Consider the following 26,387-nt stretch of genomic DNA (forward strand, 5'->3'; position numbering starts at 1 on the left):
TTCTATTTTACAGATGAGGAAACAGAAGCTCAGAAAGGTGAAATCACTTGTCTGTGGTCATGGAGAGCCAGACAGACATGATCCGGGCACCCTTTTCATTCTGTGCAACATGTCTTCATTCCCACTTTTGACACATTCTTAAATCCCTGCTTTAAATGCAGCATTCATGGCCAGACACAGTGGTTCATGCCTGTAATCCCAACACTTTAGGAGGCCAAGGCAGGAGGACGGCTTGAGCCCAGGAGTTTCCGACCAGCCCACACAACACAGCGAGACCTCAACAAATCTCTACAAAAAATTAAACAATTAGCTGGGTATGGTGGCTTGTCTGTAGTCTCAGCTACTCAGGAGGCTGAGGTGTGAGGATTACTTGAGCCCAGGAGGTTGAGGCTGCAGTGAGCCAAGATTGATTGTGCCATGGCACTCCAGACTGGGCAACAGAGTGAGATGCTGTCTCAGAAAAGAAAAATGCAGCATCCACAATTCCTCAAAGAATTAAACACAGAATTACCGTATGATGTAGCAACTCCACTTCTGGGTTTATACTCAAAAGAATTGAAAGCAGAGATTCAAAGAGACAATCACACATCCATTTCATAGCAGCACTATTCACAGCAGTCCAAAGGTGGAAGCAGCCAGGTGTCCACTGACAAATAAGCAGATACACAAAATATGGTCTGTCCATACAACAGAATATTCGTCAGCCTTAAGGAAGAAAATCTTGACCCATGCTCCGACATGGATGAACCCTGAGGACATTATGCTGAGTGAAAAAGCCAGACAGAAAAGAACAATAATGTCTGATTCCAGTTATATAAAGTCCCCGGAGTAGTCAAATCCATAGAGACAGGAAGTAGAAGGGTGGGTGCCAGGGCTTGGGGAGGGGGAATGGGGAGTGAGTGCTTCGTGGAGTGACAGTTTCAGTTTAGGAAAATGAAAAGGTTCTGGAGGTGGATGATGGTGATGGTTGCAAAACAATGCAAATGTCCTTAATACCGATGAACTGTACACTTAATAATGGTTAAGATGGTAAATCTCATGTTAGATATTTTATCACAATAGTTTTTTAAAAGCAACATTTATGGGAGGAATAATTCCCCAACCCCTGAACACCTGAGCGAATGTCCATCCGTGTGTCATCAACTTGTCCAGGGTGACAAGGGCCAGGCAGCAGCCAGGCCTACGAGGGAGGGAGTGGGGGGAGCCAAGGTCCGGGAGACGGAGGCTCACTCCCGCCCCAGATGACAGACCCCTCGCATCACACACCAGGCTGACTCCTCCACACCCAGGCGTGAGAGGTGGGGAGGGGAAACACCCTGCCAGCGAGAGACCCGCCTGCCCAACTCCCCCCACCCCACCATGCCCCCGCCCAGCCTGGCTCTGCAGCTGTAGTCCTAAGCTGGGCCACTCTGCCCGTGGCCCCTTCAGTGCCTTGGCCTCGAGGAAGCCCCACGTGTTGGGAAGTTGTGGCAGGCAGGGCCTGCAACCTGCAAAACTCCCAGCTTCTCGCAGGACATGGCTGCGGTGGGGACTTTCCCAAAGACCCAGGTGAATTCAGCTGACAGGGCCAACCTGTTTGTCTTTATGATCCCAGTGTTGTCACAGGCCCAGGACTGCCTGTCCAGGCCCAGGGAGGAGTCGCTTGGCCCCAGAATAGCCCCTGCAGGAGGTGAGCAATTACCTGGGCAAACAAAGAGAGTGCAGGTGTGCCAGGCGACTCACACACCTGACCTCAAACAGACACCACAGAGTTCAGGGGGCCACCCACTTATTGGAAAACTACATTATATTCATAGTGATCACTACTATTTATTGAGGTCTTATTATGCGCCATCCACTGTGCCTAAGTATTTTGCTTGTAATAATTCATTAATTCTCACAGCCACCCATGAAGAAAGCACTTTCACCCCCACCTTCCAGGTCAGGAAGCTGTTCCGAAAGGTCAAGTCACTGGCCTGGTGTCACTCAGTAAATTGAGATGTCCACTCCGTGGCCCCCTCTCTGTCCCTAGCACATTGATTAACCTCTGCTTTTCAAGGGTGGATTGGATTTTGGAGATTGACAAGTGCTGGCAGAGCCAAGGGAATGAAGTGATCCAGCCAGAGGCTACGCTCTGAGTTCCGCAGCAGGTGCAGCTCTCCAGCAATGAGCCCAAAGCCCGGCCATGTGGGTCCTAAGCTCACCCTGGAGGCAAAAATCCAATGGAGAGTCTCCAGCCATTCCAGTCGGGTTCTCTGGGGTCTGTCCGTCTCTGCTGTTGGGCTGAGCGGTGCAGAGGACTCAGGGGTGCCCTCAGGACAATGCAATCCCAAGAAGGCTGTCCCCCTCACACACACACAAACACAAACACAAACACACAAACACACAGCATGTGCAGCATGCCGGGTACACACAGGTCAAAGCCAAGCCGAGGGTGGTGGGGGGAGGGTGGGCTTGTATAGCCTTCAACACCCACCTCAAAAGCCACAGAGCATGCAAAGGACCAGACACAAGGAAAACCCCCTCCCGCCAGGCACCTTCCAGAAGGCACAGGTCAGGCAGATGGTGATGGCAGAGGAATGTATCAGGGGAAGCTGAGGTATAAAGGACCTTCAACAAGTTTGGTGACAAGGGAAGAGGACAAAGTGGGACTGTGCTAGCGAAGCATGTTGATGAGAGGAGTTTTTAAGGGTGGAAAGTTCTGAGCAGCCATGAGGGTGGAGGAGGAGGTCAGTGACGAAAATGCTGTATGTGAATTGTATCCACAAATGATATGTCCCAGTCCTAAACCCGGTGCCTGTGAATGAGACCTTATATGGAAAGAGGGTCTTAGAAACGAATCAAGTTAAGATGCGGTCATGATGGGTTAGGGTGGGCCCTAAGTCCCATAACACTGGTGTCCCTGTAGGAGGGAAGTTTGGACACAGACCTGAGTAGAGGGAGGATGAAGTGAGGAGGCACACAGAAGCGGGCGGGCCAAGGCCAACGTGGGGATGTAGTGATGCAGCCACCAGCCACGGAAGCCCAGGACCACGGGCCACTGACAGACATGGGAGAGACGCAAGGAACTGTCCTTCCCCAGAGCCTTCAGACGGAACACAGCCCCACACACACCTTGATTTCAGATGTCTGGTCTCCAGAACCATGAGAAAAAAAAATCTGTTGTTGAATTCACCCAGTTTGTAAAATTTGTGGCACCAGCCATGGGACACTCATGCAGAGGGTGACCTGCTTGGCTCCAATTTCTCAGAGTTGGGCACAAAATCAGCCACAACCCTGTGGTTGTGTCTGTTCTGAGCACAGGGATGCAGCCCACCCCTTCCTTTCCGCACTCTTCCCTGGGACAGCAGGGATCTGAGGAATTCCTCTAGGGGCCTGGCTGCAGGAGGTCCCCGCTCCAAAGCCCAAAGGAGGCAGGTGGGAGTAAGTGAACAGGACGGGAAACGCCGAGCAGGAACCTGCATAGTACGGGGGAGCCCCCAGGCCTGCCTACCGTCTCAACACCAGCATTTGGATTCCACTAGGAAGGAAAACAAGAAGACTGAAAAAGACAGAGAGGAGCAGGAGAGTGTGCAAGGGACAGTCTCTGTCTTCCACATTGGCTGTTTGCCAGAGCATGGCCTGTTGGCACCCCTCGCTTGTTCATAGGTGGCTGACAACATAGCCATAAATCCACCTGTGCCAGTCCATGAATGGACAAAGGGCGAGAGATGACCCTGCTTCAGCCACAGAGGCCAGTGCTCAGACTCCAGCCAGCTGGAGGCCCCCAGGCAGGCGAATGGGCTTGGGTTTCTAAGACCAACACAGAAATGCCCAGGTACACTGTGCTGCTTTTCTCTGGAGAAGAGAGAACGTCCCTTTCACCAAGTTATTATTTCTTCCTTTTAAAATTTGATTGTTATAACATTGTTTTAATAGTCAAGTAGTGCTGCAAGGCTTGTGATAATAAACAGTTGTTATCACTGCACCTCTTCCCACCTCCAGCTCCCTCCCCTGTGAGTCATCGGCCTTCAAGTCTCTCAGCTGTTTCTCTTGACCTTGACCTTCACACTTCCAACATGATTACAGTACTATTCCTTTCGGTTTTATCTCACTTACACCACCACCTCCCACACACTCCCACCTATTCCACCTACCCAGCATCTTCACAACTTACACAGTTACACAATTCGCAACCTTTGGCCAAGTCAATATTTAGTTCTGATATTACTATGACCACCATAAATGTTGTCACAACTAAACCACTTAGGGAACTAGGATGGTCTTTTCTTTTTAGTACAACTTTTTGATTTTCCTGGGGTTAACAATTGCCTCATTTTTTCATAAACTTAATTTTTTTGTCTACTACTTACCAATTATCCCCCCCCCAATTTTCTGATAGACCTATAAAAGTCCTCTCAACAAAGTCAAACATACTAAGTAATCATTCTTTTGTTGTTGCTTTGTTGTTGTTTGTCCTTCCCCTTGGAGACATCCCCTCCAGAGCTCTCTGTCCTATTTGTATCTGGGCTGGCTGACCTCTTGGCTTGTGGCACAGCTCCCCCTTGAAAGTTCCCTTCAACTTCAGTGAGAATTCCTTCGTATTTTTCTGGTGCTAAATCTAATGTGTCCTGTGCCTCACATCTTTCTCTTTTGGGGTTTACTTCCTTGTGCAAGTGACACCCATACCACAGGAACTTGCTGAGAAAGAATGCATGTGAGGTTCAATGATTTCATCTTGCATACCTTCAAACATCTTTGTTCTACCCTTACATTTGATTTTTCATTTATTATTTGAAAATGTGGCTTGCCTTTTCAGTAAGGAAATTCATGTCCTGCAGGTCGGTATTGTTTTGTTTTGTCTTTTGGCATCTTTCTCCTCTTTCTGCTCGCTCTGAGTGCCAACTCCAGAGCTGGTCTGGCTCAATTTCTCTATAGTGTGCACTTCCTGAGTTCTCTTCAGTGAGGTGGATGAGTCATCTAGCCAGGTGGATAACGAGGAAGTCTCAGGGACTAAGTGTCTCTGACAATACATTCAGCCACTACTACAGTATGAAGCCAGCCCCTCATCCCCACCTTCAGAGACCCCTGGTGCCTCAGATTCCTCGGCCATTCTGGAGCTGCTGTGCCCGAGGCTTGTGTAGTTGGAGATCATTTTGGCAGTCAGTGCTGCTTCAGCTTTCACTGTTCTGCTGTGCCAGCACATCACCAGGGATCACCTTTGGCTGCATGAACCAGAACCCCATTCCAGGGCTCAACCAAACAGCACTTTAATTTTCTTACCCAAGCAAGCAGTCCTGGCTTGTACAGCCTCCCCAGGATGTCACCAGGACCCCAAGCTCCTTCTATCTTGCTGCTCTGCCATCCTGTGTCACTTTCTTCCTCATGGAGGCTTCCTGGTCACAGGACACCCACTCCACCTCCAGTCTCTTGTTCACAATCCAAGGAGATGGAAGGAAAGAAATGATGAGGAACCAGGGTGGCTGCAATGTCAGCAACAGTATTTCCCAGGATCTCTAGCAGATTTTTTTTGGGGGGTGGTTTGTTTGTTTGTTTGTTGGGGTTTTTTGTTTTGTTTTGTTTTGTGACAGAGGCAGGGTCTCACTCTGTCACCCAGGCTGGCTGGAGTGCAATGGTGCAATCCTGGCTCACTGCAGCCTCGACCTCCCAGGCTCAAGCAATCCTCCCATCTCAGCCTCCTGAGTAGCTGGGACTGCAGACACGCACCACCAAACCTGGCTAAATTTGTTTATTTTTTTATAGAGACAGGTTTCACTATGTTGCCCAGGCTGGTCTTGAACTCCTTGGCTCAAGCAATCCAAGCTGGTGAGAACGTGGAGCCAGTGAAGCTCACACAAGTCACCAACGAGAATGCAAGATGCAATAGCCACTTTGGAAAATAGGTGGGCAGTTTCTTATAAAGTTAAACAGATACTTAATGAATGACCCAGCAATCCTAATCCTGGATATTTACCCAAAAAGTAAAAACTAGTGATCAGGGCAGGCACAGTGGCTCACGCCTGTAATCCCAGCACTTTGGGAAGCTGAGGTGGGCGGATCTCTTGAGGTCAGGAGTTCAAGACCAGCCTGGCCAATGTGGCAAAACCCCGACTCTACTAAAAATACAAAAATTAGCCGGGTGTGGTGGTGTACACCTGTAGTCACAGCTACTCGGGAGGCTGAGAGAGGAAAATTGCTTGAACCTAGGAGGCGGAGGTTGCAGTGAGCCAAGATCATGCCATAGCACCCCAGCCTGGGCAACAGAGCAAGACTCTGTCTCAAAAACATAAACAAAACAAAAACAAACACAAACAAACAAAGCCTAGAGATCACAGAAAAACCTGGAGACAAATGTTTCTGGCTGCTCATTCATAATCGTTCCAAACTGGAGACAACCCAAATATCCATCAGCTGGGACGTGGATAAGCAAACTGTGGGGAACCCTAACAGCAGATATTATTGTTCAGCAACAAAAAGGAACCATCTACTGACACTTACAGCGACATGGATGAATCTCAGACGTGTTACGCTGAGTGAAAGATGCCAGACACCAAAAGCCACACGCTGAGATCCCATGGAGAGGACATTCTGGAAAAGGCAAAACTGTAGAGACAGGGAACAAATTGGTGGTTGCAGGGGCTGAGAGTGGGAGCTGGGAACTGGCTGCCAAGGAGTGTGGGGGTGGTTTGGGGGTGATATAGATGTGGTCTATGTTTGGCTATGGTGGTGGTTACACAACTGTGACCACTTCGTCAAACTCATAGAACTTTGTCAAAACTCGTAGAACTGTACACTAAAACAATGAGTTTTACCGTATGTTGATTATATAACTCTATCTTTTTTTTTTAATAGGGTCTCATTCTATTGCTTGTCACCCAGCTCAAGCAATCCTCCCACCCCAGACTTCCTGGTAGCTAGGACCTACAGGCGTGTGCCACTATGCCCAGCTAGTTTTAATTTTTTTGTAGAGATGAGGTCTTGCTATGTTGTCCAGACTGGTCTCAAACTCCTGGCCTCAAATGATCCTCTCACCTCAGCCTCCTAAATTGCTGGAATTACAGGCATGAGCCACCTCGCCAGCCTATATCTCAATAAGCCTGACTTTTAAAAGGTTTCAGGCTGGATGCAGTGGCTCACAAGACCAGCCTGCACAACATGGGGAGACCCCATATCCAGAAAATGTTTTTAAACTATTAGCCGGGCGTGGTGGTATGCACCTGTAGACCCAGCTACTGGAGAGGCTAAGGCAAGAGGATCACATGAGCCCAGGGTTTTCAGGCCACAGTGAGCCATGATCATGCAACTACACTCCAGCCTGGATGACAGAGCAAGACCCCATCTCTAAAAAATAAAGGGAAAATAAAATTGTAAAAGGTTTCAATCAACAAACTTGTGGAATACTGAATACCACACCGCTATTTATTGACACCCTGATCATGTGGGTTTAGTCAAGGCCCTGAAAAGTCCTGCAGTTCATTTAACCAAGAGTATTATCCTTCAAGCTTTTTTCCAAGTGACAACAAAAAGGAACCATCTTGATGTACTGGCAAGCATCAAGCAAGATGATCTGGAATGTCTCCCTCCGCACAAATAGTCTGTGACTGTAAAGTGGTTTGGGCCAATGGCCTCCCTGAAGGAGGCTCTGGGAAGTGGGAATCAGACCTTGTGTTTAGGTTTCTTTGCGGAGAGCCGCCTCCTCTCCTCGTTCACGTGCTGACTCAGGTCTTCTCCAGCCCAGGAAACATGGAGGGAGGGAGCAGACCACATGTATGTCCACACCCTTAGAAAACAGTGGCTCCCACAAAGGGAGAGAGGCTGAGCCCCAGTCCTGTGGATGGTTGCTGCCCAGCCCTGGGAGGCTGGTGGCAGACACGCCCTGGGAGGCTGGTGGCAGCCAAGGGACCAGACCCTCTCAGCCCGTGGCCCCGCCATCAAGGCTGTCACTGGTGTGTCACTTCCTCATGGGCTAAGCACTGCTCATCCATTTCTAGTTTGGCCTTCACAAGTGCCCCTTGAGGCAGTGTGGCGTCATGTCCATGTGTCATGACATGTGGCAAAGCCGCTCACCACCGACCAACAGGCCTCCCAGGAGTCAGGAGTCCAGTACCAGATGGGGCAGAACCATCCTTCCCAAGGTCTGGGCCATCTGTCCTTCGAGTCCGAGCAGCGCAGGGCCCAAACCCTCGAGTCACTTCCCATTTCCACACCCTTCCAGGTGTTTAGGGAGACAGCTACAACTCAGCCCCCGGGGAAGCACTCACCAGGAACTCCAGCAGGAAAGGAGGGCGGCCAGCCAGCGTGTGGGTGCCTTCTCCTCCAGCTCCACTAGCAGCAAATCATGCTGGCCTTGTCCCTCCCTCTGCCTCACCCCCAGCCTCCTGCTGCCCGGTCCAGATGCTAAAAATAGCCCCAACCTGCATTCAGAATCCAGCACATCATACCTTCCACAGCAGGCATCTGCACCGTTGACAGTGGAGGCCACTGTGACTCCACCACCTCCCCAACACAGCCTTCCACCAGCCATGGCAGAGGGAGCTTGCAAAACCAGAGGGTGGGTGCAAGAACTCACGCCCTCTCCAAACGCTTTCCAGAGGTAGGCCAGGCGGCCAATGGTTGCACCTGAGGCCCAGGAGAGGAACTGACCTCACTGGCTTTGTAAACGCCATGATATTCAAGTTCTCACGTTTCCTATTTCTGAGCAAGCCAAATCAATGTCAACATACATGAAATACATCTATGAATGTGGTCTACAAAGAGATTCTTTATTTTGCAAGACAAGTCCATAGCAAGCAAATCTTTTGAGTCCTGAAAATATATTGTTTTTCAAAATTCCGAGTGACGTGCAACTATTTCATAAACTGGAGCACATGATCGGGTGTACTATTACCCCTTCCTCTAGGTGGTATTTCAAAGGGTACGTATTTCCCCCACCCTTCATGAATTAACTCCTTGTTTTACTTTCCTAGGGCGGCAGTCACAAGATACCACAGACTGGGTGGCTGAAAACACAGAAATGCGTTCTTTGGCAGTTCTGGAAGCTATCATGGAATCCTGAAATCAAGGTGTGTCCCGGATGTCTCCAGGGAGAACCGTTCCAGGCCTCTCCCTGCTCCTGGTGTCAGCTGGCACTGCCAGGCTTCCTGGCCTCTCCCTGCTCCTGGTGTCAGCTGGCACTGCCAGGCGTCCCTCGGCTTGTAAGGGCGTCACTCCCGTTGCAGGCCGTCTTCTCCTTGCCCCTTTACTTCACCTTCCCTCAGTGTGTGTCTATGTCTGTATCCAAATTTCTCCTTTTTGAAAGGACACCAGTCATGCTGCACTAGGGTCCCTGCTAATGACCTCATTTTAATCAGTTACTCTGTAAAGGTCTTATCTCCAAGCACGGTCACATTCTAGGGGACTGGGAATCAGGACCCCAACATACCTGTTTTGGGGGGACACAATTCAACCCTAACACTCCCATTTTCTAATAGAAGAGGAGAGGGGAGGGAAGGAGGGAAGGGGGAAGGGGCCGGAGACCTCGGCAGGAGGGAGGGAGAAGCCAGCCTGCCGCCCTGCGCGCACCGGCTGTGTTTCTGTGCGTTGTGCTTTTGTTCTGCATGCTGGGCGGGCGGAACAGGGTGCTGGCATCCAGGCTCACCCAGAGGGGAGGGGGACCTGCAGGGGGAGGGGAGCACTCAGGGGATCAGGGGAGGAGAGTGTGGGCCAGGTGACCTGCCAGGCGAGAGAAAATCGGGGAATCCGCACAGCATTTTCAGACAGCCTGACAGCAGCCGCTCGCTCCCCTCTGAGCCCCAGCCCCCAGCAAGCGGGCCTCTGGCCCCAGGTCTGGGAGCGGCGTGGAAGTAGACCTTGGCTCTCCCTCCCCGGCAGCACCCCACCTCCCTTTGTCTCTCCAGCCAGAGGTGGGCCTGTGGGGATGCTAATCTCAGAGCCACCTCTCCATCTAAGGTTGCTAGAAATTCGGCAAACAAAAGATAGATTTAGAGAACAAAAAAATTTAAAAAAAATAATATGGCCGGTTAAATGTGAGTTTCAATTTCCAATAAATAAATGTTGCCTGGGATATGCTTATATCAAAAACTTACGTGTCACTTACCTAGCATTTGCATTTCACTGGGCCTCCTAAATTCTGTGTGGTAACCGACTGCCACCGGACATGCTGTTTACTTCTCTATCCTCACGCAGCCAGTTGCCACATTCAACATAACACTGCAAATATTGCCGGTGGATCCTGACTTCCTCGTGGACCCTACTGTGTCGGGAAAAACAAACAAACGAACCCTGGAAGGAAACACCATGAGTTGTTAGTAGTGCCTGTCTCTGAATGATGGGCTTACAGGTGGTTTTCAATTTTTTGTCTTTAATTTTTTTTTTTTTTTTTAGACTGAGTCTCACTCTGTTGCCCAGGCTGGAATGCAGTGGCATGATCTTAGCTCACTGCAACCTCTGCCACCCGGGTTCAAGCGATTCCCCTGCCTCAGCCTCCCAAGCAACTGGGATTACAGACATTCGCCATCATGCCCAGCTAATTTTTGTGTTTTTGGTAGAGATGGTGTTTTGCCATGTTGGCCAGGCTGGTCTTGAACTCCTGACCTCAGGAGATCTGCCTGCTTTGGGCACCCAAAGTGCTAGGATTATAGGCGTGAGCCACAGCACCTGGCTTGTCTTTAATTTTTTGTTTATACTTTTCTATACCTTCTAATTGTTTTCAACCAACACGTATATCCCAGAAAATGTTTTAATGATTAAAATAAAACAATTGCCCTCTCCTCCTTGGAGCCCCATCCACAAGAGCAGCTTCTGCAGATGTGGGAAGGAGAAGACTTTGTACCTGGGTCCCAGGCCACGTGAATAATTAACCCTGTCTAGGGAGCCTTGGAGGTCTGATGAGGCCAGGGCTTGAAGGAGAGCCGCGGAGCACGCCAGGATCCAGGCTTGTGGGTAGCAGCATCCCTGGAAATGGTCCCCAGTGGGGGAGGAACCAGTAGCCATCACCTCCAACCCCCAGCCACCGCCCCGCGCCATGTGAGTGAGGTGGCATCTGGTTTTCCACACACACCTCCCCATGTCGCTGGACGCAGGCAAGGCCACCCAACCCCCAAGCCAGAGTCACCCGGACAGACGGATACTAGGCACCTTAGCACTTCCATGGCCAGAGGCCTCCTGAGGTGGGAACCGGGTCCTAGCCCATCCCAGGCCATCCCCTCCAGGACCTTCCTGGAGGAGCGGGGAGACCAGACTTAGAGGAAGGCTCCATGTCCCAGGTCCAGACAGGGGTGAGGGGGAAGAGGGGTGAGCACCTGTGTTAGGCACTTTGAACTCTCCAGGTCAGGTGACTGCATCCAGCTGAGACTCCTGGCCTCCCTCCAGCGTGGAATGAGCAGCCGGTCCTGTCCCGTCCACCCCTCCAGTGCTGCGGAACAGAACGGGAATGGCAAGTCCCCATGTGCTGTCTCCCCGCCCTTCTACAGCACCGGTGGCACAAATGCTGGGGACAGTGCCGGCCCCACTCACAGGAGAGCTGCTGGGCTGGCTCCAAGGCTCCTCCGTCCATGGCTGCTGGGCTGGCTCGGAGGCTGCCTCCGTCCATGGTCTCTGCAGTGGACAGTCTGTGTCACGCCTCCATCTGTGGTCTTTGCAGTGGACAGTCTGTGTGACGCCTCCTCCGTCCATGGTTTTTGCAGTGGACAGTCTGTGTCATGCCTCCATCCATGTCTTCCAGCAACACCACCTCACTCTGCTTTACACAATCACTCCACCTCCGTGTAATGCCCAACCTTGTTTTTCCTTTATTCACCTAGCCTTGCTTCTCCCTTAGCTGAGAGAGTCACACAAACTCCATCTTGGCTCTTTCACCGGCAGCCCCTTCCTCAAGGACTTAACTTGTGCAAGCTGACTCCCAGCACATCCAAGAATGCAGTTAACTGATAAGATACTGTGGCGAGCTAGATCCGCAGTTCCCAGGAATTTGTCCGAATGATAACGCCCGAAGCCCCGCGTCTATCACCTTGTAATAGTCTTAAAGCCCCTGCACCTGGAACTGTTTACTTTCCTGTAACCATTTGTCCTTTTAACTTTTTGACTACTTAACTTCTGTAAAATTGTTCTAACTAGACCCCCCTCCCCTTCCTAAACCAAGATGTAAAAGTTAATCAAGCCCCTTCCTCGGGGCCAAGAGAATTTTGAGCGTTAGCTGTCTCTTGGTTGCCAGCTAATAGAGGACTCCTAATTCATCTCAAAGTGTGGCGTTTTTCTAACTCGCTCAGGTACAACATCCCCACATGCCCTGCCCCCGCTTTGTATGCACACAGCACACACCTGTGCACATACAAACATCTGCTTTCACACATGGACACACTCACTGAGGTGAAGAGGCACACTCAGGCACACACACACTCACATTTGGTACATGCAGCTCCTGAGGGGCAAGGCTGAGCTCCTTCTCAGGAACGGACACAAGACTGAGGGCTGGGTCACTCAGATACTTTGCCCCTCGGGCCCCACGGATTGATTTAGGGGTGAACTGTGAATCCCTGGGAGATTCCTTCCTGCCACGCATTCCTGCTGATGGGAAACAAAGCGGTCTTTGAGGGATGCTGGAGGAGGCAGCAGTTTGTGATAAAGAGCTGTGAGAGGAGAAGCCCCTTTGCCACCTGCCCTCCTTTGTGCATTGGATGTTGTCCTCAATGGACGTGATGCCTGGAGTCCCTGCAGCCATCTTGCCTCCATGGGGCAAGCCAGGAAAACCTCACCGACTTAATGGCTTCCCTCCAGCCTTTCCAAAGCCTTGCTCTGGTCTCAGAGAGTTAGGAATTCTGTCACTTAAGGCCCAGAGCATCCTGCTGCTCCCTTCACTCCAGAACCAGAGCCACACGGCTAACAGGCAAAGGGTCAGGAACATAGCCCGTGTTTTCTGCTCTCGGCACTTGGTCATTCTGCATAGAATTTGGCTCCAAGGCCTGGCCTGACACCTTCGCACCAAGGTGCCGTAAATGAAACCTTTACTCCTGAGACTTCCTCACCTCTGCGTTCCCAGGGATCCACAATCTTCTATTTGTAAAATGATTCCCGGTTGTCATGGAGACCAGGGCACCGCAGTGGAGCTGGAATGTTAGGTGGGGTCCAAGGTTCAGTCCTGGGGGTAGGGAGTGGGGCAGGCAGCTTCACTGGGCCCTTTATCTGCCTGATTCTCATCTTTCTTACACAATAGTCTACTCATTATTCCTTCCCTAAGGGCCAGGACACAGGCCTGCCTGGGGTTACAGTCCCTGTCTTTACAAGTCCTCTCCTTCTGGCTCTTGGGCGTGCCTGAGCTCAAAGGAGCCTCCAAGCAAACTTGGCAGGGGGTGTCCCCCAGGGCAGAGGTGGGGCCCTGGCTCAGCACCCCCAGAAACCACAAGGTGGGGGCGGAGGATCCTGCACCTGACCTTCACCTTCGTGTGGATCAGATCAGAGCAGAAGTTCTATTTCTGGAACTGTCAGACCTGCTGACCTCCAGTCAATGGCAGAGGCAGGAAGGCAGGCAGAAATACAAGATGCAGCTCTTGTTACACCTCCTGCACAGACCAACCTAGTCTCGGCTCCACACAGCCACTCACTCTTTCACTCAACACGTGTTTCCGAGCATCTTCTATGTGCCTTTTCTCTATCATCAGATGGGGGCCCCTGCGGTGGGCAGAATAACGGCCACTGCAAAGATGCCAAATCTTATCCCCAGAGCTTCCGCAGAGATCCTGCAGATGTGATTCGAGTCTTCCAGCAACACCACCTCACTCTGCTTTGCACAATCACTCCACCTCCCCACATGTTGCGGAGATTCTCCTGGGTCAGTCGGGGGGTCCAGTGTCATCCTAGGGTCCTTATGAGAGGGAGGAAGGGAGGCGGAGGAGGAGATGCAAGGATGAAGCGAAGGTTGGAGTGATGTGGTCTGCTGCGGGGACCCTGAGGCGTGCAGGCGGCCTCTGGAAGCTGAAAAGACAGGAAGGCAGCTTCTCCCCTGAGCCTCCAGAAGAACCCGGCCCTGCTGACACTGGCCCAGGAGCCCCTTCCCCCATCAGGGCCTGGAGAGGGAAGAAATGACTGTTCACAGATTTTACCCCGCAAGACCCATTTCAGCATTCTGATTTTGAGAACCATAAGACAGTGTGTGTTGTTTAAGCCTCCAAGTCTGTGGATATTCATTACAGCAGCCTTGGGAAACTGACACCACCTCCCCCTAATCCTCCCTCCCGCCCCCACCTACACCTGAACCCTCCCCTTGCTCTTCTCTGCCGATTCACAGGGATTCACACTCTTCCTACTTGCAGCTGTGACACGGGAAACATCCTCCACCAGGTCTTCTCTCACAGTGTGGCCTCTGCGCACAGGTTATCCACCTGTAGACCTGGACGGGACCCTCGAGGCTCCCTACTCTGACCATCTGGTTTTATAGTTGAGGAACCAGAAGCCGAGGCAGGTAACTTGGTGCAGCCTAAAGGCCTCCATCCCTCCAGTGCCCACAACTTAGGTGCCCACGACAACAACACTGGCCTACCGCAAAGACCCAGCCCAGAGGAACAAGGTGCCACTGTATGTCTGAAAAGGGGGCCCTCGGCCTCACTGGGGAGCACCTTCCTCCATCAGGGTCTCGACGGTGAAGAAGCAGGCTGTTTCCATCTTCAGGATACAAGCCATCTGCGCATAGGAAGAGGGTCCAGAGGCTCATCTGGAATCCCTCCTCACTCACTGGACGGAGGACCTGACCCCGTTCCCATCATTGGTTCTGAATCCATCAGCCCAGCAAGACAGGTGTCTCCAGCAAGTTCTGTAAAATACAACCATAGCCGGGCCTGGAGTCAGCCCCCAATAAAGGGTTCACCATGGAGTCAAAGCTTCCTTCACATTGGGAAGAGCCTGATGATGCCGCCTTGGTGCCACCCGTGCAGGCCGTGTTCCACTTCTGTCATGGGCTGGAGAGAAAAGAGCGACATGGACCTGTTCATGAAAGGCTCTTCCCGCAACACCAAGCCTGGGGCCTGCAGGGCCGCCATGAAGAAAGGTGGCTCCTGCTTGGCAGAGAGAAAAGGGGAGGGAGGGCAGGTGAGTCACCAGCATTGGGCCCCTCAGCCCAGGCTGCCAAGGCAGCCCAGTGGAACCTGTCCCCATACAGCATGTTTTTAGTTTGAATGGTTTTACAGTGTTGGAGCTGTAACTTTACAAATTTGCTTTGCCTTCATAACTCTGTAAGAGCTATAAGCAAACGTAGCTTTAATCAGCATTTACAGCGTGCAGGAGCATCTTTCCTTTAATTCTGCAGGAGGATTTGTGCCCTGTGGATGCCATAACAAAGTATCACAAACCCACAAGTCAGGAAGGAAGGTGTGGGCAGGGTGGGTTCCTCCTGGAGGCTCTGGGGACACGTCTGTTCTGTGCCCGCCTCCAGCTTCTGACGGTCGTGCCAATGCTTGGCCTCCCGTGACTATGGAAGCCTCTCTGTAGTCTCCACTTCCATCCTCCCAGCGCTCTCCTCCCCTGTGTCTGTCCCTCCTGCCTTCTGTCTGGCTAATCTCATGAGGACACCATTCATTGGGTTTAGGGCTCACTCTGAATCCAAGATGAGCTCATCTCGAGATTCTTCTTCTTTTTTTTTCTTTTTTTTGAGAAGGAGTCTGGCTCTGTCACCCAGGCTGGAGTATAGTAACACAATCTCAGCTCACTGCAACCTCCGCCTCCCGGGTTCAAGAGATTCTCCTGCCTCAGCCTCCCGAGAAGCTGGGATTACAGGTGTCCACCACAACGTCCCGCTAATTTTTGTATTTTTAGTAGAGACAAGGTTTCTCCATCTTAGCCAGTCTGGTCTTGAACTCCTGACCTCAAGTGATCTGCCCGCCTCAGCCTCCTAAAGCACTAGGATTACAGGTAAGAGCCATCACGCCTGGCTGGGATTCTTAATTATCTCTGCAAAGACCCTATTTCCACATAGGTCACCTTCACAGGTACCAGAGGGTAGGGCTTGGACACATCTTTTGAGGGACCACTACTCAATCTACTACACTAAATTTGAGTAATTATGATCAAGACCAACCCCTCATTTTGCAGAAGAGAACAAGGCCTGAGAAGGGAGCCAGCTGGCCCCAGCCTCACAGCACTGCCACCACACGCAGGCCAGCGCTCAGCCACAGTGGCTCCCCCAAACTTGGACCATGAGGCACCTGCTGGCACCCCTCACCTGGCCTGTTCCAAAGCACTATCTGAGGCTGGCTGTTTGCTTTGCTTTTGTAACTCTAGAAGAGCTACAAGCAAACATAGCTTTAATCAGCATTTACAGTGTGCAGGAGCATCTTTCCTTTAACTCTGCAGAAGGATTCGTGCCCTGTGGATGCCGTAACAAACTATCACAAACCCACAAGTCAGGAATCAAGGTGTGGGCAGGGTGGGTTCCTCCTGGAGGCTCTGAAGGCATGTCTCTTCTGTGCCCCTCTCCAGCTTCTGGTGGTCACTTCCAATCCATCAGGAAGCCATGGGACAGAGCGGCAAGAACCTCAGCGTCAGAGCCCAGGGTCTCTACCCTGGCTCTGCCCCCTTGGGTGTCATTCAGCCTCTTTGCCGCAGGGTCTCCAAAGTCTCTGCCTGCAAAATGTGCACAGAATATCTCCTGTGTGTGGCCATAACCACAGTTCACAGAGATAATGTCCTTTGCCCTGCATGAGATTAACCCTCAGAAAATAGCAGTTAACATTCCATCCAGAAGGCAAGTGTGGTGGCTCACGCCTGTAATCCCAGCACTTTGGGAGGCCGAGGTGGGCGGATCACTTGAAGTCAGGAGTTTGAGACCAGCCTGGCCAACATGGTGAAACCCCATCTCTATTAAAAATAAAAATAAAAATAAAAATAAATTAGCCAGGCACAGTGGCATGTGCCTGTAATCCCAGCTACTCAGGAGGCTGAGGCAAGAGAATTGCTTGAACCTGGGAGGCAGAGGTTGCAGCGAGCCGAGATCACACCACTGCACTCCAGCCTGGGCAACAGAGCCAAACTCTGTCTCAAAAAAACAAACAAAACATACAAACAAAAAAAAACCCATTTCATCCAGGCCCGTAAGTCCTCAGGGCGACCCTCCCTGTGAGGACAAGGTCAAGAACATCAGATCCTGGAGGTTGCAGGCTGCCCACTTGCAGACCTGGAAGCAGAGGAGGAGCACAGGCTCCCAGGGACACTCAGAGGGGGTCCTGGAGGGAGTCTTTCTGCAGGATGGGGGTGAGGGGGCTCCTCAAAGCCTCCCTACTTTGACGGATGGCATCTGTCGAGGGAGCTGCTACATCCACAGCCAAACAGCAGGGAACAGGACAGTGTGGGGGCTACGTTTCAGCAGCAATGATTTTTTTTATTTTTTGGTAACAGCTTTATTGAGATATAATTCATCCACCATAGTAACCACGTAAAGTGTCCAATTCAATGGCTTTTACAATATTCAGTAGTGCAACTATCAACATGGTCAATTTTACTACACTTTTATCACCTCAAAAGAAAGCCCATATACTTCAGCTAGCACCCCACAGTTCCTCCATGTCCCACCAGCCTCTGGCAACCATCAGTCTTCTTTCAGTCTCTATGGATCTGCCTATCTGGGTCATTTTCTATACACGGAATCATATCATCGGTGATCTTTGTGTCTGGCTTCTGTCACTGAGCACAGTGTTTTCAAGGTTCATCTACATTGTAGTGTGTGTCAGTGCTTTGTTCCTGGCTGAGTAATACTCCACTGTATGGATGGGCCACATTTATGTATCCCTCCCTCAGTTGGTGGACACTTAGGTTATTTCCACCTTTTGGCTATTAGAAATAGGAATGCTATGAACATTCACATGCAAGTCTTTGTGTGGACATATGCTTTCATTTCTCTTGGGTATAAACCCAGGAATGGAATGGCTGGGTCATGTGGCAATTCTATGCTTAACTTAGTTGGGAGACAGGCACTGCAATCATTTTACATTTTCATGGATAGCATCCAAGGGCTCCAATTTCTCCACATCTTCTCCAGCTCTTGCTATTGTCTGACTTTTTGATTATAGACAGCACAGTGGGTGTGAGATGGCATCTCATTGTGGTTTTGATTTGCATTTCCCTAACAACTAACAACGGTGAGCATCTTTTAATGAGCTTGTTGGCCGAGAAAGCTGCAATGATTTTGAACACAGTCAGGTAAACTTGGAGGCAACAGGGTGTTGGGGTAACGGCTGAAACCCTGGAGGCAGGAGGCCTGGCTTTCCGTGTTTGTTCCAGCACTTAGCTGGTGGGTGATCTGAGTCAATAATGACTTTCTGAGCTTCCTGGTGAGGAAAGCCAGAAAAATAACACTAAACCCCCGGAGTGTCGAGGTGAACTTTTCCTCTTACTCATAATGTAGGTCTAGTACCTGGTACCAAAAAGTTGCTTCCTAAGTAGCTATTGCTGTTTATTGTGAAGCAAATGAGGTTTAGAAGCGCTGGCAGTGACGAGGCTTATGTCCCAGTTTTCAGCAACTGCTCAGGTTGCTTCAGAAAGATCCCAAATCACAGACACCTGTACTCACTTTCTGTTGCTGCATAACAAGTTACCCCAAATATTGCCGCCTGCAACGCCCATTGATTGGCTCACAGTTCTGCAGCCCAGCAGGGCTGGATTCTCCACTCAGGGTTCTTTGAGGGTAGAATTTGGATGTCGGCCCAGCTGCATTCTTGTTGAGAGGCTCTGCAGAGAGTCCATGACACAGTTTGGGCCTGTGTCCTCACCCAAATCTCATCTCAAATTGTAATCCCCATAATATCCATGTGTGGAGGGAGGGACCTGGTGAGAGGTGACTGGATCGTGGGGGCGGTTCCCCCATGCTATTCTTGAGATAGTGAGTTCTCACAAGATCTGAGGGTTGTATAAATGTTTGACAGTTTCTCCTTCACACACTCCTCTCTCTCCTGCCGCCTTTTGCTTTCCCTTCACCTTCCTCCATGATTGTAAGTTTCCTAAGGCCTCCCCAGCTATGTGGAACTGGGAGTCAATTAAACCTCTTTTTTTTTTTTTGAGACAGAGTCTCGCTCTGTTGCCCAAGCTGGAGTGCAATGGTGCAATCTCAGCTCACTGCAACTTCCGCCTCCTGGTTTCAAGCAATTCTCCTGTCTCAGCCTCCCTAGTAGCTGGGACTACAGGCGGGCACCACCATGCCCAGCTAATTTTTGTATTTTTAGTAGAGATGGGGTTTCACCATGTTGGCCAGGCTGGTCTCAAACTCATGACCTCAGGATCCACCCGCCTCAGCCTACCAAAGTGCTGGGATTACAGGCACGAGCCACCACACCCAGCCCCTGTCCTGTCTTATTGAAGTCCCTTGCCAGAGCTACTGGCCCTCACCCTGCCCCAGTGCTGGCCCTTGTCCCTCACCCTTCTTCCCTCCTCCTTTTCCTCCTCAACATTCCCAATTCTCTACCACCATTTGTTACATCGATCTGCCCGGAACCTGCTGTGAAGAAAAAGACCTTTCTCTTGTTGAGAGGTGCCCTCTGTTGGAAATCTCTTGGGCGCTAGGGAAGAGGTGTCCGGGGACACACCCTCCCTGGTTGCCTATGCAGATACACAGGGAAGTACAACCTCAAGGTAAAGTGCCTTCTCCTATGGGGTTTAAGGCAAGGACATCACACCTGGACGGTGAGGCCAGGAGGCTTCCTGGAGAAAGGCAGCAGCCAGGCAGAGGAGGGCAGGGCTTCAGGCCAGGCAGGATGCCCCAGGAGGAGGGGTTCAGTGTGCAAGTCGGGCCATGGAAGACGTGGGGGCTGGGATGGGGGTCAAGGAGGGGGATGAGAGATAGGGCTGGAGACAGGGTTGCTGCAGGTAGAGGAGCTGAGAGAGGCCGGACGGAGGGAGGCCTGGAGACCTCGAGCCTCTTAGAGCCCTCCCCAGGGAGAATGAAAGCAGGGGTCAGGGCTCAGATTCAAGGGAGACTTGGAGCAGAACCCAGTGCTTGGCTGGATATGGGGAGGGCGTGAAGAGAAGGAAGGCTGCCCCAGACTCAGGGGGACACCAGGGACTCCCAAAGGGACACGGAGAGCAGAGCCCGTGGCGTGGGTTGAAGGACAGATGGTGTGTCCTACACATGCTGCCTGTTGCTTTGACACCCCCCCACTTCCCCCCGCACACACACACTCCCACTTCCGGCATCCAAGGGGCAGGCCTGGCCTGGAGGAAGGATGGATGGACGCGCGGCTCTGGAATGGCACAGTGTGGGGAGTTGGGGGGAAAAGAAGAGGCACTGAAGTAGCAGGCACACAATCAGCAGCTCGCTGAGATTTTAGGAAAGAGAAAAACAACCCCACCCCACCCCAGCTGCTCTAATAGGGTGAATTCACATTAAGACCCCAAAGTCCATAAGATAGGATCTGCCCTCAGCTTAACTGCAGGCATGGAGGCTCTGAGCCTGGGCTCTGGGTCTGACCGCCCAGGTAGGAACCTGGCCTCCGCCTTGAAGCCTCTGCTCTGAGGAAGGTGCGCGGCCTCCCCGACCCTCAGCCTCCTCATCGGAGTGCAGGGGTGAGAATTCCCACATCTGGGCCTTGCTTCGTAGGAGAGGGTGAAGAGGCAGGTTCGAAGTCTGAGGACCAGGCTCAGCTGAAAGCCTTGCTCAAGAGGCTCGGTAGGATGAGCGTGAGAAGGCTCGCGGCTCCACACCCCAAGCATACTCGCTGCCCTGTGTGGACTTCTCAGTGCTGCAGGCAGGTTGGGGTCTGTATTCGTCCGTTTTCACACTGCTGATAAAGACGTACCCAAGACTGGGTCATTTATAAAGAAAATGAGGTTTGGCTGGACGCAGCGGCTCATGCCTGTAAAACTTTCGGAGGTCAAGGCGGGAAGATCGTGTGAGGTCAGGAGTTTGAGACTAGCCTGGCCAACATAGGGAAACCCTGTCTCTACTAAAAATAATAATAATAAAAAATTAGCTAAGCATGGTGGTGGATGCCTGTAATCCCAGCTACTCTGGAGGTTGAGGCAGGAAAATCGCTTGAGCCCAGGAGGTGGAGGTTGCAGTGAGTTGAGATTGTGCCACTGCACTCTAGCCTTGGCAACAGATCAAGAGTCCATCTCAAAAAAAAAAAAAAAAAGAAAGAAAAAGAAAAGAAAAAGAAGTTTAATGGACTCACAGTTCTCCATGGCTGGGAAGGCCTCACAATCGTGGCAGAACGCGAAAGGCACTTCTTACATGGTGGCAGCAAGAGAGAGAATGAGAGCCAAGCGAAAGGGGTTTCCCCTTATCAAACCATCAGATCTCGTGAGACTTATTCACTACCACGAGAACAGTATGGGGGAAACCGCCCCCGTGATTCAATTATCTCCCACCAGGTCCCTCCCACAACACATGGGAATTATGGGAGCTACAATTCAATATGAGATTTGGGTGGGAACACAGCCAGACCCTATCAGGAGCCTTAGGGGAAAGAGACGGCTGATGCCTGCCCTGTTAGGTACCTTCTCCCCCAGTGTTTCCTCCACCTTCATGAGGATCCCCATCCTTCTCTTGCCTTGTGGGACAGTCCTGGCTGACTAATCACATTAATAGGAAAATGCTGAGTTCTCTCAGGGCAGTAAACAGACATCTTTGACCAATGGCTAACAGGACTTGAGCTGGTCCTGCCAGCCAGATGTGTGCCACACTGTCTACCCGAAAACTCGCCCAATCCTCCCAGCACTCTTCTGCAGCCAGCACTGTCCTCGCTCCATCCTGTGGAAAAGACTGAGGCTGGGAGAGGCTTGGCACTGCCAGGTTCCCGAGCCTGGCCACTGTGGAGTGGTTTTGACCAGGTCCAAATCCGTGCCCTTGTCCCTGACCCAACTCCGTGCCCTTGTCCCTGGCCCCTCGCTCCTGGCCCAGCACTCACAGTGGAGCCTGCAGCCCCTGCATGCAGGTCTGGGTCTCCTGGGATTCTGTGACCCTCATAGCACTCCCCTAAGTCCCTGGCCAGTGGTGCACCAACACGCAACAGGAGACTTGCCACTGTGAGGAGCATCCCTCCTCGTTCCCTCCCGCTGTGTGCAGCTTTGCAGGTGACAGAGCACGCTGTCTCTGTCAGGCAGGGAAGGAAACTCTCTGCTAGTGGGGTACAGTTCAACCTGGGGAATATACTTATTGAGGGAAAATCCAAATTCCAGAGAATTTAAAAATAAATTTTATTATTTTCTAATAACCAAGCATTACTAGGGAAATGCGATATAAGTAGAGATGCCAGATAAAATACAAGGCCCCCAGCTAAATGTGAATTTCAGCTAATTATATTTAAAAAAAATTTAAAGGCTGAGCGTGATGGCTCATGTCTATAATCCCAGCACTTTGGGAGGCCAAGGTGGGAGGATCACTTGAGTCCAGGAGTTTGAGACCATCTTGGGCAACATAGTGAGACCCTGTCTCTAGAAAAAAAAAAAAATATATATATATATAATATATATAAATATATATATATAAAATATATATATATCAGTATGTCCCATGCAATATTTGAAATATACCTATGCTAAAATATAATGAATATATGTAGTGAAAATTTAAATAAAATGTTAGTAAAATTGAACAGTTAAACATTGAATTAAATATCTAATGAACTACTTTTTAGTATAAGTACGTCTCATGCCATAAGTAGGACACACACTAACAATGATTTGTTGATTATGTGAAATTCACAGGTAACTGAGTGTCCTGGAGTCATTTTCGTCCTGTACTTTTATTTGGTGAATCTGGCAGGCAGCTTTCCCCGCCTGATGAAACTTGGGAGTTGCTGCCGCCCTCTGCCACAAGGTTGGCCGTGTCTTCCCCTGCCGCTCGCAGCTACACACGGTGCACGAGGCAAAGCAGCGGCCAGACGCCCTCTGAGCGTGATGGCGGGCAGGTGCCCCCACCAGAGAGCCCCAAGCCTGAGCACTATTCCTGTCCCTTCTAACTCTGCTGGGAGCCCCATCTTGCCTCCGGCGTCAGCCCCACCCCCCTCAGCTCAGCCTCAGCACCCCTGCAGCGGGGGAATCACAGCCGACTCCTTGAGGTCCCTCCCGGCAACGGTGCCCACTGCCCACTCTGCAGGGGACAGAGTGGAAGCCCCAAGAGGGACGAGAGGCTACAAGCTCTGGGGTGGGGGGTGAGGTCAGCCTGCGCTGGTCTGACCCAGTCCGACTCCTCAGGGCGGCCGGAGCCTGTGGTCGGGAGGCGTGCGGGGCTGTGCCCAGAGCAGCGGGTCGGTCTCTTTGGAGCACTTCCCTTCTGCGCGCGTCCAGCACCCCGGAATTGATTCACAGCCAGTCTGGGTCTGTTTTCTAACCAAGCGCCTTGCTCATGAGGCACGCTGGTGTCCTTTAGAAGGGACCCAAAGCTTAAAGTTGCCTTTGTCAGTTCCCTAAGAACCCACATAAAACTGGCCACGTCCAGGGCCTCTCCTGCCTCCCCGGCACGAAGCGGTGCGGAGCAGCAAGGCCAGCCTGGCCTCCGCAGGGAAAGCTCTGCCTCCAGCCTGGTCGAGGCCCTCCCCTCAGCAGAGGCAACCCTAACAGACTCCCTTTCCCAGGAGCTGACGGGCGAGTGCCTTAGAGCCCTGTTCTCAGAGCCAGGCAGGCCGCTGCGGAGGCTGTAGGGACCAAACAAAGTCAGGTCTGTGAAATGCTCGGCGCGGGGGCGCGGGGCCCGCAGGGAGTCCGGGTTCTCTACGTGTCCTCCCTCTGGCTTTCCTCATCCCTTCCCTTCCTTCCTCCTCCCTCTCTCCTTCTTTCTCCTCCTCCTCCTCTTGTTCTTCTTCTTCCTCCTTCCTGCTCCTCCTTCCTCCTCCTCTTCCTCCTCCTCCTCCTCTTTCTTCTTCCCCTTCTTCTTCTTCCTCCCTCTCCTCCTCCCCCCCCCTTCTTCTTCTTTCTCCTTCCTCGACACCACAACACAAAGCAGAATGAAATTCGTGCCATAGAGAAGTCCCGGCAAAATGCTGCCAGACCTGAAGAAATGGGGACTGCTTCCGCCTGGATGGCAGGGCTGGGGACAATTATTGGAGGAGAGAGCAGGTGGCCTGCAGGGCTGGTGAAGGGTAAGAGGGACTTGTAAGAGCAGAGGTGGACCATGGCAGCCAGGGTGCACCCTCCCCTGCCGGGGCGTCGTGGAACCTGAAGGTCAGCTGGAGGATGTGACACTTCAGGACGGTGTTGTGGGTCCCAAGAAATGCTCTGGAGCAGAGGCCGATGGCAGGATGAGGCCGGCAGCAAGGACAAAGTGCAGGAGTAGAAGAGGTTAGAAGGTGGCGAGGCTGGGCTAAGTGGGCCAGGGGAGGAGCCATGGGAGATTCCAGGGTTCCCAGCAAGGGGGCAGGGCAGGCGGGGGCCTGGCACCTCCAGGAGAGGCAGGAGAGGACCGGCAGGTCTGGGGAAATGGGCGCTGGCGTGGATTGACGGAGAGTCCTGTGTGCTGAGCACTGCGGAGGCATGACTCACCCCTGATCCCCGAGGGGCAGACCGGGACTCAGGCCCAGATCTCATTGACACTGAGGCTTGCACCTCTGGCCACCAGCCTGCTGTCCCTGCACTGGGAGAAGTGGAGCCCCAGGCCCCTCACTTGGTACCCACGGGCTATTCAGGCCTGGCTCCCACTGCTGCTGTCTCCCCTGGCGGGGATGCATACAAGGCTGGACTCTCGGCCTTTCCTGGGGCCTGAGCTAGTCCATGTCCTAGGAAGAGATGACCGTGGCCTCCGTTTTAACAAACACAGACTAGACCAGTTGTCCCCTGGCTGTCATGTCCTAACCCTCCCAGTGGGTGGTGGGACAGCACAACCCCTGGCCCTGAGCTGTAAGGGGAGGGGAGGCCCGCAGGGAGGTCGCCCATTGGGGAGGCCGCCACCACCCCAGGGAGGCCTGTTCAAGTAGGTCGCAGTGATGATTTCCGGTGGCAGGTCGCAACAGGCTGCGCTGGCTGTGAGAAATGAAGGAAAAATGTGCCCAGATAAGTAGAAGCGGTTCCTGGTGGCTTGGCAACCTCAGAGGCTGCCTGGCTGTCTGGTTAACCCCTTCCCTCCCGAAGTGTGGCCCAGAACACACGTGGGACTTCCAGGTCACCCTGCACCCCTGGGAAGCCAGGCACACTTGGTCCCCCTGAGTTCACTCCATGCAGAGTGGAAACGATGTTGCCTGTCCCCCAGTAGTGGAGGCCAGTAGGAGCTGGGATGGCGTGCACAGCCCTCAGCCCAGCGCAGACAGGAAGAGCACGGGCAGGCTCCGTGGGGGCTCACAGCTCCCCAGGCACAGTGAGGGTGGAGGGGACCTTCAGGAGGGGTCAGACTATGGCCAAAACATCACCCGGCAGACCCCACAGAGTCCACTGTGGCCCCTCCTTCCTGAGCCGGCCCTGCTGCTCCACCCCGGCGGCTGGAGCTGCTCATTACCGCCGCCTCCACAGTGCCCTCCAGGAAAACCCACAGGGCCTCGCCCCACAGAGTGCTTCTGTGCCCGGGACCTCCCCGGCCCCTTTAGGAGTCTTTCTGATCTGCCGTCTTAGAAGCGCTCCCAGGAAGGTGTGGTCTTCAGGGCGCCCCCCCTGAGCCACCCCTTCCCACAAACACGTTTCCTGGGAGCTGAGGTTTGGGCCACGCAGGGAATTCTGACCAGGGAGACTTGGCTAAGTGTTCCCACCCGGCGCCTGTCTCCCAGCCAGACCCGGCCAGACGCTCTCATCAGCACCTCCTTCCCGTACTGGGGCCCCAGGGAGAAAGCTCTAAGCTACTGCCCAGCTGGCTCCAAAAGGGGTCCAGAAATCACTTTGAGGGTGACCCTGGGGCTGCTCCCTGCATACCCACATACCCCCCCCCATTTCCGACGAGCAGCACCTGCCCTGGGCACTCCCCAGCTTGCCCTCCTTCTCCTCGGCAGATGGGGCTTCCTGCTGATTCTTCCTGCAGGACAGTCAGGTGTGTGAGGGCGGGCCCTCCAGCCTGGGCACCTCCTCATGCGGCTCCCTTGGTGAGCCGCCATCACACAGAAGGCGGGTAGAGGGAAGAAGGCAGTGGACTTGGTGGTCCTGACCCTTGTAAACCTGAGGACAGGAAGTGAGCAGCGCTGTGCTGAGCTGGTGCCTCTGGGAAATGCTGGGCTCCCTGGGGCCTTGACTGTCCTGTTGGTGGCCAACTCCCTTGGCGTGTGGTCCTGTGCAGTACACGTCTATCAAACGACTGCAGACATGAATGAATGAATGAATGAATGAACGCTTTAGCCTGACTTCATACCACATAGGTAAGTTTCAGGATGTTAGCACAGCTAAAAAGCAATAGGGCAAATTACAAAACAAAAAAAGAAAGCCAAAAAAATACAAAACTGTCATGAGCACGCCTGGCCTCGTAGCAACCCACCAATGGGACTGGAAGAGTCACGTGAACACACACCCATTTGCTGGCTTTAGCTCATGTCCTGGCTGTACAGGAC

The 26,387-nt window shown here is 52.3% G+C and overlaps 2 long non-coding RNA genes across 2 annotated transcripts, besides 1 other annotated feature; one reads left to right on the plus strand and one right to left on the minus strand.

The window, feature by feature from the left end:
* Window positions 3,908–4,202: a silencer, noted in NCBI's record as "tiled region #2990; HepG2 Repressive DNase matched - State 8:EnhW". NCBI's record gives its function as "represses a minimal TATA promoter and a strong SV40 promoter by Sharpr-MPRA in HepG2 cells {active_cell/tissue: HepG2}" and the evidence as "EXISTENCE:reporter gene assay evidence [ECO:0000049][PMID:27701403]".
* On the minus strand, window positions 8,759–13,014 carry LINC00479 (long intergenic non-protein coding RNA 479). Its single transcript, NR_027272.1, has 6 exons — window positions 12,981–13,014; window positions 12,359–12,522; window positions 11,473–11,591; window positions 11,259–11,371; window positions 10,790–10,911; window positions 8,759–10,239 (listed from the first exon to the last, which is right to left on the minus strand). It is a non-coding gene; the product is annotated as a long intergenic non-protein coding RNA 479 (long non-coding RNA).
* A 660-nt stretch (window positions 13,015–13,674) lies between these two features.
* Window positions 13,675–14,821, plus strand: LINC00112 (long intergenic non-protein coding RNA 112). The gene is made up of 3 exons (NR_024028.2): window positions 13,675–13,783; window positions 14,240–14,413; window positions 14,581–14,821. It is a non-coding gene; the product is annotated as a long intergenic non-protein coding RNA 112 (long non-coding RNA).
* Window positions 14,822–26,387: the final 11,566 nt, after the last annotated feature.

The sequence above is a fragment of the Homo sapiens genome, chromosome 21, assembly GCF_000001405.40.
Source record: "Homo sapiens chromosome 21, GRCh38.p14 Primary Assembly".
Classification (NCBI taxonomy): domain Eukaryota; kingdom Metazoa; phylum Chordata; class Mammalia; order Primates; family Hominidae; genus Homo; species Homo sapiens.